The 13,818-nt window shown below is 42.0% G+C and overlaps 1 protein-coding gene across 18 annotated transcripts in view, besides 2 other annotated features; it reads left to right on the top strand.

Annotated features, from left to right (window-relative positions):
* The window catches only part of TRIT1 (tRNA isopentenyltransferase 1), a 45,402-nt gene that overhangs the window by 26,849 nt on the left and 4,735 nt on the right, over positions 1–13,818 (top strand). Inside the window, exons 3-10 of one of the 18 annotated variants that reach the window (NR_132401.1) lie at positions 2,595–2,693; positions 3,787–3,932; positions 6,402–6,540; positions 8,566–8,677; positions 9,003–9,115; positions 9,366–9,443; positions 12,023–12,132; positions 12,445–12,562. The exons of 1 other annotated variant lie outside the window; for it this stretch is intronic. Coding sequence is in view for 4 of the 17 variants with exons in the window: in NM_017646.6 (NP_060116.2) it covers positions 2,595–2,693; positions 3,787–3,932; positions 6,402–6,544; positions 8,566–8,677; positions 9,003–9,115; positions 9,366–9,443; positions 12,023–12,132; positions 12,445–12,562 (919 nt within the window). In the remaining 13 variants the exon portion in view is untranslated. Of the gene's footprint in view, positions 1–2,594; positions 2,694–3,711; positions 3,933–6,401; positions 6,545–8,565; positions 8,678–8,915; positions 9,116–9,365; positions 9,444–12,022; positions 12,133–12,444; positions 12,563–13,818 lie in introns of those variants that run through there. 16 more of the 18 variants (NR_132415.1, NM_017646.6, XM_047423225.1 and 13 more) reach the window with 16 other exon arrangements.
* Positions 10,073–10,162: an enhancer, noted in NCBI's record as "active region_822". NCBI's record gives its function as "activates an Ori minimal core promoter by ATAC-STARR-seq in GM12878 lymphoblastoid cells {active_cell/tissue: GM12878}" and the evidence as "EXISTENCE:reporter gene assay evidence [ECO:0000049][PMID:35858748]".
* Positions 10,633–10,682: an enhancer, noted in NCBI's record as "active region_821". NCBI's record gives its function as "activates an Ori minimal core promoter by ATAC-STARR-seq in GM12878 lymphoblastoid cells {active_cell/tissue: GM12878}" and the evidence as "EXISTENCE:reporter gene assay evidence [ECO:0000049][PMID:35858748]".

Raw genomic sequence — 13,818 nt, 5'->3', positions numbered from 1 at the left:
TTAACATGCAGACTGCCTTTAGTATCTGGATTGCTATATATTAAAAGATTGAAAAGTCATAATAATTATAATAGCATGGAACTTATTTAGTACTAGATATATTTGTGGCACAGAATAGAAAACCCAGATATAGATTCAAATGGAGGTACGTGAATTTTTTTTTTTTTTTTTTTTTCTCCTAGAGACAGTCTCACTCTGTTGCCTAGGTTGGAGTGCAGTGGCACCGTCATGGCTCATTGCCACCTTGACCTCCTGGGCTCAGGTGATCCTCCCACCTCAGCGTCCTAAATATCTGGGACTACAGGTGCTTACCACCACACCCAGCTGATTATTTTCATTTTATTATTATTATTTTTTGAGACGGAGTCTTGCTCTGTCACCCAGGCTAGAGTGCAATAGCGCGATCTTGGCTCACTGCAATCTCCGCCTCCCAGGTTTAAGTGATTCCCCTGCCTCATCCTCCTGAGTAGCTGGGACTACAGGCACATGCCACCACACCTGGCTAATTTTTTGTATCTTTGGTAGAGACGGGGTTTCACCATGTTGGCCAGGCTGGTCTCGAACTCCTGACCTCGTGATCCACCTGCCTCGGCCTTCCAAAGTGCTGGGATAACAGGCATGAGCCACCATGCCCGGCTATTTTATTTTTTGTAGAGATGGATTTTGCTATGTTGACAAGCTGGTCTTGAACCCCTGGGCTCAAGTGGTCCTACTGCCTCGGCCTCCCAAAGTGCTGGAATTACAAGTGTGAGCCACCACGCCTGGCCCCAATCAGCCTTCTTGATTCGACAGGTGAAGGTACTAGATACTGAGGCCCAAAGAGTAGAAGGGTGTTTGCTCAATATCACAGTCATTTCATGGCTTGCACAAATAAGTTAAACCTTTTCCCGTGAAGTATGTCCTATCCCATCTTCTTTCCTCTTTCCACTCTCTCCTCTTCTGGAATCTTAACATTTTTCCCTTCCCCTTTTCATTTCTTTGCTCACTTTCCCTTTGTTAATCATACTACAGGTTGAACATCTGAAAATCTAAAATCCAAAATACTCCAAAATCTGAAACTTTTGGAGTGCTGAGATGATGCTCAAAGGAAATGCTCATTGGAGCATTTCAGTTTTCAGATTTTCAGGTTTGGGATGCTCAACCAGTAAGTATAATGCAAATAATTCAAAATCTGAAACATTTCCTTGGTCCCAAGTATTTTGGATAAGGGATATTTAACTTGTGTATAATTGACATTTTATCTTACTGTGGAAATTGTATGCTCCCTATACTTAATTTAAAGGGGGAAATAGAGAATTTGTTTTCTCTTTTTAAAGCAAACAGTGTTTTTTCTTTATGATCCTTGATTGGTAACATCTTTCTTCCCACCCTGCCTTAGCCGCTTAAGGGTTAGTGGGATTCTAGTAGAAAAGAGGTGGTCTGTCTCTATGCCTGCAGATTGGCTGGCAAGGAGAAATGTGTAAATGATTATTTACCTGGATATTGAAAGTCTTTTAAAAAAAGTTATTTTCGGCCAGGCACGATGGCTATCGCCTGTAACCTCAGCACTTTGGGATGCTGCAGTGGATGGATTGCTTGAGCTCAGGAGTTCAAGATCAGCCTGGGCAAGTAACATCGTGAAACCTTACCTCTACAAAAAATACAAAAATTAGCCAGATGTGGTGGCATGTGCTTGTAGTCCCAGCTACTTGGTGGCGGGAGCTGAGGTGGGAGGATGACTCGAGCCCTGGGAGGTTGAGGCTGCAGTGAACTGTTTTCGCGCCACTACACTCCAGTCTTGGTGACAGAGTGAGACCCTGTCTCAAAAAAAAAAATTATTCTCAGGAGCAAAGGCCGCCTTAAAGCAGATAATTATCTGTTCAACGGAGATTCTAAAGAGAAAAATTTAAAGTAGCAGAGATGAAAAAACAATAGTGGCTATAGTAAATTGAGTGCTTACTATTTTTTAGGCATTGTGATAGGGGATTTCTATGAATTGTCACATTTAAGGCTCATGGGGATTTTTACAGGTGAGAAAACTGAAACTCAGACAGGCTGAGTAATTGTCCAAGAGCTGAACCTGGAAATTGAAGTCTATTTATCTTCAGAACCTGTGCATCTCACTTAATTTGGTCAAGCCTCAAGTGGCAAAATGTGATAGTCTCTCCATGATGGTAGAGACTGACTAAGTCTAAGAACCTTAGAGAAACCAGCTTGTGTTTTGCCTTAGAAGGCAAAGTCATGCAATGGATGTCACCTTGATGGCCTCCTGAGCAGCTGACACTTGGTTCTGTGAGAGTCCTTGGGCTTGTGCTTATTGAACTGATTTGGAATACTAATAAAACTTTGACTTTTAGCAGCAAGACCTAGAAAGTTCTAGAACTGGAAGGAATTACCACTATGCATTTGTCTCTGGTTTCTGCAAGTCCCTCCAGAACTGATTGGACATGATTCTGGAAATTTGTTGGAAACACTGAGGGCTGGTATCAACGCATTTTGGTTCCCACCCTTTCTCCTCTGCTCTGCAGATAAATGAATGTGGTTTCTTGCTAATGGTGTCCTTCCAAAGTGAGTCAGGATTCTCTTGATATCGTGATATCTTTCTTAATGTTCACATTGAAGATATATTTGCCCGAGACAAAATTCCTATTGTTGTGGGAGGAACCAATTATTACATTGAATCTCTGCTCTGGAAAGTTCTTGTCAATACCAAGGTAAGTTTAGTTCACTCGTAACTCACTGAGGAAATGGATTGCTCTTTCTTGCTGTCTAATTTCAGTGGGAGAAAGGTTGACTCTTGCCTATTTCTTATACCCAGCAACTATAATTTTCCTACTTAATATTCTCAAGCAAATGCCACCTCCATGTGTGAAGTGTGTTCCTCCAGGCTGGTCTATGGGAAGGGGCTCTGTGTGGGAAAAATGTTGCTGTGTGGATTAATTAGCATCTCCATATAAATTAACAGTTCATTAGGCCAGGCGTGGTGGCTCACACCTGTAATCCCAGCACTTTGGGAGGCCAAGGTGGGTGGCTCACCTGAGGTCAGGAGTTCGAGACCAGCCTGGCCAACATGGTGAAACCCCATCTCTACTAAACCCCGTCTCTACTAAAAATACAAAAATTAGCCAGGCATGGTGGCACGCACCTGTAATCCCAGCTACTAGGGAGGCTGAGGTGGGAGGATCACTTGAGGCTTGAGGCGGAGGTTGCAGTGAGCTGAGATTGCGCCACTGTACTCCAGCCTGGGCAACAGAGCGAGACCCTGTCTCAAAAAAAAAAACAGATGCGATTCAAGAAAAAAATATGTATAATTCTTTAGAAAAATTATATTAAAAAAAACCCAGTACGTTAGCCATTAGCCTGATTCAGTATTTCCTGGCTGGCAGCACAGTATGTATATTAGGGAGATGTCCAACACTGACCTTATTTACGTAGGTGCTACTATGTAGGGTAAGACTGTGTAAACTGTAATTCACTGGCAATCCTGGTCTCCTTGTTCACCCTTGCTGAGAAGACTAGACTCCTGGATATGCTAAAATAGACATATTAGCCCTGGTACCTGTTTGAACTTCTGACAGGGAAGCAAATAGCCAGGTGTTTCCCTATGCTGTAAGTCTTCTGTCTTTTTTGTTTGCTGTGGCCTCATAGCACTTACCACAGCATATTGGAATTTTCTGTTTATGATCTCTCACTATATGGCAAGATCTTCTGATTATTCTGTATTCCTGACAGTTAGCAAAGTGCCTGGCACATACACTGTCTCAGTGTTGGTTGAATTAAATATACTTCTAAACCATCATTTAATAGCCCCAGGAGATGGGCACTGAGAAAGTGATTGACCGAAAAGTGGAGCTTGAAAAGGAGGATGGTCTTGTACTTCACAAACGCCTAAGCCAGGTGGACCCAGAAATGGCTGCCAAGCTGCATCCACATGACAAACGCAAAGTGGCCAGGTAAGAAAGCCTGGCGCGCTGACCCCAAATTCCTTTACAACTAGAGAGCAGTCAGTTCTTCAGTTTGCCCAGATGATGAGAGAGATTTGGTAATAGCAGTTAGTGGAGATTGATGTGTTGTTCTAGCTCAGCAGGTTGGGAGGCCCTGAGTTATTGCTTCAGTTCAACTCCCTCAATAAATAATTGCAGCCTACTTTGTTACATTTTAAATGCATAGTACAATATCGTTTTCCCCTAGGGCCTATATAATGTTGCTTCATTTTCTATTTGATCTTTGCTTGTATAACAGTTTTCATATACATTTTTTCTGGCATGCAGTTTGTTTACATTGTGATTTGGGTTTCATAACTGATTATGCAATGCCGTGTTCTGCCCCAGCAGCTTTCCCAGTGGGAGGTGGATTTTATTAACTGTCTCACAGATCAGCTCACCTTTGCACATGGAAACTATCTGGTAGGGAAGAGAGGTAGTGAATGAACTCACAAGGTCATGTTTTTTTAGGTTGTTTTGGAATTGCAGCCTCATGTTAGGTTTATTTTTCTGCAGTATTAGGAGTGATACCACTTCCAGCATAGTAGAACATCTAATGAAGGACCTGTTCTATTGATGGTTATACAGATTAAATATTAAAGTAACATCTCATATTCATAGGGGTTGTGAAGTATTCCACTCAAATGAATTTGATATTTTTCCTCCTAATTTTACCCCCCTCAGTGAAACTTAATGTTAGAATATAGGATTTAAAACATTCATTATTATTATTACTTTTTTTTTTTTTTTTTAAGAGATAGAGTCTTACTTTGTTGCCCAGGCTGGAGTACAGTGGCACAATCATGGCTCACTGCAGCCTTGACCTCCTGGGCTCAGATGTCCTCCTGCCTCGGCCTCCTGAGTAGCTGGGACTACGGGTGTGCACTACTATACCTGGCTAGTTTTTTAAATTTTTAATTTTTTTTAGAGATGTTTTGCTGTGTTGCCCAGGCTGGTTCCAAACTCCTAGGCTCAAGCGATCCTCCTGCCTCAGCCTACCGAAGTGCTGGGATTATAGTCATGAGCCACAGTACTCAGCCAAGAAAAGGATTTCTTCAGGTAGGGTTGTCCTTTGCACGGCAGGGGGGTGGGGCACAAATTGTAATATCTAAGTTTTTTCACCCCCTTAAAGGCAATGTATAACCTCATTAAGAATGCATGTTTTAGATTAATGAAGTTTATACTTTTCAGTATCCAAACATTTTAAACACTTTAATAGAAAACATTCAATTTTTTTTAAACCTAGGAACATTATGATAAACATTCATTTTTATATTGTTTTATTACATGATTCTAGAGCTTGGTGTTTATTCTCTCCTTTTACTAATCAGTTCTTTCTTATCACTTCTCATTTTGCTGCGTCTAAACGAGTAATGAGTTTGAGAATTTTTTCTTAGTAAGAGTCAATAGGTTCTAAGCAAGAGCTCTAGAGTCTCATTTAGAGAATGAGGACTTTCTTTTTTTTTAATCTTTCTTTTGGCTTGAGGCTGTATTTTAACTCCAGATAAGTGAGATATCTATTACTACATTTTTTCTCATAGATCTTCTTTGAGAAACCAGTGATACTGAAAGACAAGGGGGTCTACACTCTTGCGTTAGGGTTTCAGGAAGTAGAATTGGGTCAGGAAGAGAAAGATCACTTTCAGGCTGATAAGTTGCAATCACCCAGAGTGGTAGAGTGTAGATTTGGGAGTTAAATTACCTAGTGCTGCATAACATAATAGATACGGACAGAAGTGGATGGTGGCTTAAGAATAAGTATGTGAGTTCTTTTCTCAGTGATCTTTGTGCCAGTAGAGCACTGGATTAGCCAGGAGCATTCTTCATTAATTTGACATATTTAAAAAGAAAGCTGATGAGCTGGATGTACAACATGCTTTTGTACTGTGGGAAAGGCACGCCAGCCAGACCAGACTTGTTGGCTTGTTACAAAGTGTCCCAAACAAGCTCTTTTACTGTTTATCTGAAAGTGAGTGAGTACCATTCTGTTTGTGTAGAAGAAACCTGTTGTTTCTGAACCTATTTAACTGATTTCAGAATAATTTATATATCTTTAGAAAAATAATATTATTTCTTACTTTACCTAAAGTTTTCTTTAGTACCCTTTTCTGAGTAGCTGTAGGACTGGAGTAACCCTAGACCTTCATGTCTTTTGGAACTTAATGCAGTGAAAATGAGAATAAGCCTTTCTGCATGCCCCCTTTTTGAAGAGACAGGGTCTGTTGCTGCTTAGGTTGGTCTTGAACTCCTGAGCTCAAGCAGTCCTCCCAGTTTGGCCTCCTGAGTAGCTGGGACTACAGATGTGCACACTGTCGTGACTGGCTTTCAAGAAAGAGGCTTTCTGTAATAAACAGCCTTTCTCCTTGTTTTACTTGAGAATGAATATTTTCTATTGGTTTTTATGGGTGTGCCCCCTCCCTCCCCTTTTAAATTACTTAGGAGCTTGCAAGTTTTTGAAGAAACAGGAATCTCTCATAGTGAATTTCTCCATCGTCAACATACGGAAGAAGGTGGTGGTCCCCTTGGAGGTCCTCTGAAGTTCTCTAACCCTTGCATCCTTTGGCTTCATGCTGACCAGGCAGGTAACAGCCCTTTGATGCCCTAGAGTCCATCTGTGATGGAACTTGGAGTAATAAGTTACTGTATAGAAAATGCTGAGAACCATGGGTGGCTCATAATAAACACTAAACAAGTATTAGCTATTAATTTTATTATCATTATCATTATTTGTTGGCTTAGGCACAGTGCCATTCCCCTAGATATCTGTTTGGAAAGGGAGAAAGGATAGCCCTGGCATTAGGAGAAGACATCACAGGTAGAGTGGGATGGGATGGACGGAATGGGAAAGAGACTGCCATCCAGGGAAGGTCCAAAGGAGAAAAAGAAGGCAGTCTCTTGTGGAAGGTTGGCTGGAGGCTAGAATGTTCTAGAAGCAGTATGCCTTATAATTAGCTTGCTAGCCTGATGGTATTTTGTTGCTAAAGTATAATTATGTCCGTGATAGTAGTAACTTATTCATCCAGCAAACATTCAGTAAGCATTCAATGAAGTGCTGGGTATTCTGTGTGGTACTTCGGTTTCAGAGTTGAAGAGACAGTGCCTTTCCTTAAGGAATTCCCAGTCTAGTGGGACAACAGACAAGGAGATAGATACTATCTGTCTGTCTATTATTTATGTGATAAATGCTGGGCTAGATATATTTTCAGAGTGCTGTAGGGCCACAGAGAAGGGATGACGAATATTATCTTGGGGGGAGTCAGAGACCAGTTTGCAAAGGTAGCCTATGATAGGCCTGGAAAGATGACATCATTATGTGGACAAACAGTAGAGTGTAGCACTGAAGAGCACAGGCTCTTGAGGCAGACTGTCTAATAGCAAATTCCTGCTCCACTAGCTTCTAGTTATGTGAATTGTTAAGACAAATTAGTTTACCTTTCTGTTTCCCAATTCTCCTGTAAAATAGAGATAATAGTAATAACACATATTTCCTAGCTTCATCAAGGATTAGATGAATTAATACATATATAGTGCTCAGAATGTGCCTGACACATGACGGGTCCTCAATAAATGCAAACTTTCTAGGAAGGTTACTGTTGCTGTAGGCCAATAAATCACAATGATAGAGATGTAGAAGAACATAATTAAAATGGTGACAATCTGTTGTTAAATTAATCTGCCATAAATTGATAAAAAAGGTAATTTTTCAATAATGAAATTTTATAAACAAAAACTTTTACTCTACAGGCAGCATAAAATAATGGTATCTGATTCATAGTAAAGCTGTTTGTCACATCTGAACAATTACGACCTCTCACTCTTTGCTCCTTTGCTTGGCTCAGTAGTTTAGAATGTATCTAGGATGTCTTTTTTTTTTGTTTGAGACAGAGTCTCGCCCTGTTGCCCAGGCTGGAATGCAGTGGTGCGATCTCGGCTCACTGCAACCTCTGCCTCCCGGGTTCAAGCGATTCTCCTGCCCCAGCCTCCCAAGTAGCTGGGATTACAGGCGCGCGCCACTACGCCCAGCTAATTTTTGTACTTTTGGTAGAGACAGATTTCACTGTGTTGGTCAGGCTGGTCTCGAACTCTTGACCTCGTGATCCACCCACCTCGGCCTCCCAAAGTGCTGGGATTACAGGCGTGAGCCACCTTGCCCGGCCGTATCTAGGATGTCTTTGGATTAAAGTTCCATGTTCTTATCCAAGGTGTCATCTAGGGGTTCTTAAACATAAAGTAACACTAAGTTGCAGTATAATGACATATTAAATTAAAAATAAGAAAGGTAAACCAGGGGATCCTCAGCCACCTCTAAAACACATTCCATATGAGAATAAAATATTTGTCCTTCACAGTTGCTGTAATTGTATGCTTTCTCTATATAATGAGGAGGCATGTGCTTCATTCTGACTATGCTTCATTTTTATTTGGAGTTGCAAAGTCTTAAATGTGAGTAACGTATGAATTATTATAATAATCTTTGGAATCTGAATTCTTTCTTCCGTTTGGACAAATTCTCTTTTTTTGTGACCACCTGTTCACTCGTCATGTAAGTATATAGTAGGTACCTACAACTTGCTTGCTGGTTGATGGGCTAATTTGATTCAAGTTCTAGATGAGCGCTTGGATAAGAGGGTGGATGACATGCTTGCTGCTGGGCTCTTGGAGGAACTAAGAGATTTTCACAGACGCTATAATCAGAAGAATGTTTCGGAAAATAGGTGAGGATTTGGCTGTTATTCTGACCTACTGTCCATATTTTGCAGACAATCAAAAGACCATAACGCTAATACTGGCTTTGGGTCTACTTGTTTATCAGCCTTCTTTGCAGATGCAGTTTTTTAATCTTTCAGACAGTCCCAGGAGTTAACTTTTCAAGAAAGTAACCTGGTGGGTAGGGGAGGGGAAAATTTCAGAGAATCAGTAACTGCTCAGGATCTCAATTTCCTTATCTGACAGATGAAATGGCTCAACTAGGTCCATCTCCAAAGCCCCTGCTAGCTTTTAGGAGCAATGGCTTATCTGCTGATACCCTCCTGTTCCCAGCCAGGACTATCAACATGGTATCTTCCAATCAATTGGCTTCAAGGAATTTCACGAGTACCTGATCACTGAGGGAAAATGCACACTGGAGACTAGTAACCAGCTTCTAAAGAAAGGTGTGAATTCTTCCATCTAATCTAGTCTTGGACATCTTTGGGTGGCAGGGTACTCTGCTGGTATGGTCTGAGAAAGAGCCAAGGCTTAAAGCGTCCCAAATAGCCTTCAGCTCAGAACTGAGATTTTTGTCCACCAAGTCTGACATTGCACTGCCGTGGCTGACTTTTTCCTGCTGGGCTGGGAGGGCCTGCCTCTCTGCAGGGTAAGGAGTGCTTACCTAGATGTTCTTAAATCTACTGTATCTTTCAGGTATTGAGGCTCTGAAACAAGTAACTAAGAGATATGCCCGGAAACAAAACCGATGGGTTAAAAACCGTTTTTTGAGCAGTAAGTCTCATGTTTTTCTTTATCCTATGGGTCTGTTTTCAATAGAATATAGATGTCCTCAGCTCACCCAGAAAATGAATTTTAGATTCTGGGCCTGTTCTAAGATTTTGGATCTGACCTAAGGGAAGTTCTATAACATAAATGATTATCCAGGGATATTTTCTTGGGATGTCACAAAAAAAAAAAAAATTATTTGCATTGAGGAGTCTGCCTTCTGCCTTGAACAGATGGATACTGGCTGCAAACAGCTAAGAAGAACAGCAGCATCTTTTTTGGAGAGTTGGTGTTCAGGGCTGATTTTTAGCTTCAGTTTTGTACCTGAAGAGCAGTCAGATTTCTGTAGGGAAGATTTCCTAATTACAGTGTTTTTGGGGGGCCAGATGAGTTGTATAAAAAGACACCTTCACCATTTCTCCCAGCGTCTCCACATGGTGCTTCAGATTGCTTCAAATGAAACTTTAGTTGAACAGCATTTTTGAGGGAAAAGAAAGGAAATTCTCATTGATTTGGCCCTGTACTGTGTCTTTGGCACTAAATTTGGTGTTATACATATATTATTGAGTCTTCAAGGTAGGTGTTATTCTTTTATTTTTACAGATAAGAAAATGAAGGCCTAGTGAAGTTAAATAACTTGCCAAAAATCACCCAGCTAGTCGGCAGTAGATAACTGAATGCAGGCCTGACACAGAGTCCACACTCCTTTATACTACTCTTACTTCCTTTAGCTGTAACTTTAGCAAGACAGCATTAGTATTGGACCATGGGTAAAAACTATGTGGTTATGAGCTAAAGGAGATTAATTTAAGCATAAGTGAAACTTCAGTTTTATCTTGTGGACATGTTTTAAATATGCTTCTGAATCATCTTGTGTTTACCTTTTGCTGGTAGACTTCTGCTCTCAATTACAGACAGGGCCAGCTGAAGCCTCTGCCCCACTCGGTGCCTCTGAAAATACATACCTTGATCCCTGCTGTTGACCACTAAACTGCTAACATTCTTTCTCCCAGCTCCCACTCTCTGCCTGAGCTCTCCAGTGGAGTTCTGGTGTGAAGAGGCTTGTTGTGCTTTCCTCTACTTATCCTGTTTTCTCTGCATGTCCTGGTAGATAGAAGTCTTAGTGTCATCTGAAGTTGAAGCTCAGTGCTGTATTACAAATTTCTAATGCAGCTTCTCTTATCCCCATGTCTGACAATAAGCCTTTAACAGAAGACTTTTGGGTAATAATTTAGAACTTCTTCCTGTAGTAAAACCACAATAATTCCTCCATCTCTGTGGTAGGAGGAGTTGATGGCACAGTGTGTCATATGCCTGTTCCTCATTCGTGTGTATGCCGGCATCGTCCTGGTGCTGGAGTGAAAGGCACAGCTGCCCTGTAAATCAGGAGCTGTGCGTGATTGGCCAGGGCTGGTCTGCTGGGATATGGTTCTGGCAGGAAGCCAGGGGGACTTCCCCACCCCAGCATGGCCTTGGACCCAAGCCAGAAATAGCAGCTGGGAGCCGAGAACTTGTTGAAAGGTGCTTAGACAGGGCACAGAAGCCCAACAAAGGGCTTAGAGGAGAAAGGAAAATGTAGAGTGGCCTGGAAACAGGTGCAGAGCTTAGCCAAGGCCAGGTGTGCTGTGGATGCTGCCTGCACCCTCCTAGTCTCACCTTTCCTGTGGTAGCAGGTGCAGCCCAGTCCAGTTTATGAAGAATCTTATTTGGGGTTGGCACAATCAAAAGGCCAGCACCTGCCAGTCGTTGGCATCCGAAGGCCTTTGATGTTTTTGCCCATGGGCGATGCTCCTTTGCCTTTAGGCAACTGACTTAACCTAGTTGTGGAAGGCAGTTTAGTGTGTATATAGGCAGGGAAGCTAACCACAGAGACTAAACTCTTGCAACATGGTTGGCTCAGGTGGGTGAAATACCTGTAGCTGCACTCTTTGCTACCTTCAGTCTCATCTTCATTCAAAAGTGTCTGCCAGGGAGTGTTTCTTGAATACCCTCTAGATCAGGTTTTTAAAAGAAGTTGCTCAACTACATCAATTCTAAGACTTCTTTCTGGTTCGCAGATTCTGCGGCTTATTGGTTGATATGATTCTGTTCCCAGCCCATGCTTTCAGAGCATTTCATGAGTCCCAGGCCGCTGAGGGAATATATGCAAACCCGAGACTAGTATCTGCTCCTAAAGAAAGCTGTGAATTCTCTTGCCACAGATCGCCATCATTGTAAGATGATATGGAACTTAGAATAGGCACTTACTTAAAGCTGTTAGTTTATTTCTTCTTACGATGTGCTGTCTTTGTGTTGTAGCTCACACAATGGTCACTTGAGCTGTTAACTCTATTCTGGTTTTCTGGCTGATCTGGAAGATCCTGCACCCATGTATCCAGATTATGTAGCTAGTCTTACTAGCTGCAGAGCAGTTAAACCTCTAGGTCTTTCTTGGATTGTGGTTCATGTTTAGTTAGAATTAACAGCATGGTCAGAATGTTTACTCCTTTGGCTCTGTGTATTTCCCTGGAGGATTTCAGAGTCCTGGCTGCAGAATAGATTGGGTTTGAGGCTGACCTCTCACAACCTTTCTTTGTCATCATTAGGACCTGGTCCCATTGTCCCCCCTGTCTATGGCTTAGAGGTATCTGATGTCTCGAAGTGGGAAGAGTCTGTTCTTGAACCTGCTCTTGAAATCGTGCAAAGTTTCATCCAGGTAATTATGAATCATGATACATTCTATTTTCTGGTTTTCAGAGCACTTTCATTAGCTGACACCTTTGTTGCTATATTGAAGAACCAGGCCTTCTTTTCCATAGAATAAAGCAGAAGGGCTGGCTGCTTTTTAATACCTGGAGACTGCTTTTCTACTTTTACATTCAGAAAGGTTGTTGCTAAAATCTGTATACAGCCCATCTGCTCTCTGGGTTGAGAAAAAGGAATTTTAGGAAAATCCCATTTCCCTTAATAGAGAATTATATCCAGATCTCTTTGAATTGAATACTCCCTTCCACCCTTGTTCTTTTAGGGCCACAAGCCTACAGCCACTCCAATAAAGATGCCATACAATGAAGCTGAGAACAAGAGAAGTTATCACCTGTGTGACCTCTGTGATCGAATCATCATTGGGGATCGCGAATGGGCAGGTAGAGTATGGGGAGGGGCATGAAGAAATCTATAAGGGTGGGTTCACATTGACTTCATGAAATTTAGAGTCTTTGGCAGATTGAACCTGGAGTCTATTTATTTGTAAAGGGACAGCTAGATTCCTCTAAGAGCCTGTGCTCAAATTCCTTGGAGGCTTCTGGGAATTTGTCTCTGTATTCTGAGATTCAGAGGAAGATCAGATGCTCTCCATCTTCAGCTGGAATTAATATTTTATACTAAGAGATCTGCAGTTAACTTTCTAGAGCTCCTTTGACTTTGTGGTCCTGGCTTGGAGGAGTTTCTTGGCCTTTCATGTTTATAATTCAGTGGGGGTGGGATCAGGAAGTAAGGGTGTAAGGGAAGCCAGGCAGCTCATCCAGGAGACTGGAAGAAGCAGAAGCATAGCTGGGAGGGGGCAGGAAGTAGAGTTACTACTCCTGAGTGTGGTTTTTAAAAGTGGTATCTCTTCAGTAACTTTTGAGGTAATTGTTGGCATAGTGGTAGTTGCTAAAACTGTGATAAAAAGAAGTTAAGAGAAACTGTGTGAAAGTAAGCCTGTCACACATGTATAAAGAAGGTTAGTTCCCCACCACCTCAGGGCCAGCCCCACCCTAAGGCTCTATCCCTGCATTAGAGCCTGGATCTGCCTCTGCCACAGAGTCACACTGCACACACATCATTGGATTTTCAGATTTCTGTAGTCATCCAGTCAAAGCCCAGGACTTCTTCCCCAAGCCTTGAGTTTACATGGTATTTAGAAATAGGTGTAAGGTTTGCTGCTTTCAGGCACAGTGGGGCTTGTCGTTTACTCAGCAGCTGGGATCCTTCTGTTCAGAGTACTGTTTTGCATGGGATTCTCAGAGAAGTAGATTTTTCTCCCCAAAGCAACCAATAGGATGATTAGGTCTATTAACTGGTAACTGGCAAAATGAACTCCATTGTCAGAGACTGGGGACGGCTGTGATTGCCCAACCAGCAGAAGAAGCCTCGATTGTCATTGGTTTATAATGATGAAAGGGGAAGAGAAAGAGAGTGTCTGATTGTTTTTTTCTAAAGGAAACTTAGTGGTTCGATTTGTTGAATGTTCTTCAGGGATAGCCTTAGAGAAGCAACATGTGTGAGCCTTTGTGAGCTTAGCTTGTGTAAGCCCTTCTGTAGTGCCATCTGTCAAGTCCTTACTCCCATCTCCTGCTGCCATGGAGAGCCAGCCCAGAAGCCCGTTTTTTGCCTTAGGCTCTAGCTGGAAAACAAAGCT

Source organism: Homo sapiens, chromosome 1, assembly GCF_000001405.40.
Source record: "Homo sapiens chromosome 1, GRCh38.p14 Primary Assembly".
Lineage (NCBI taxonomy): Eukaryota > Metazoa > Chordata > Mammalia > Primates > Hominidae > Homo > Homo sapiens.
This window is presented reverse-complemented; position numbering and strand designations above follow the sequence as displayed.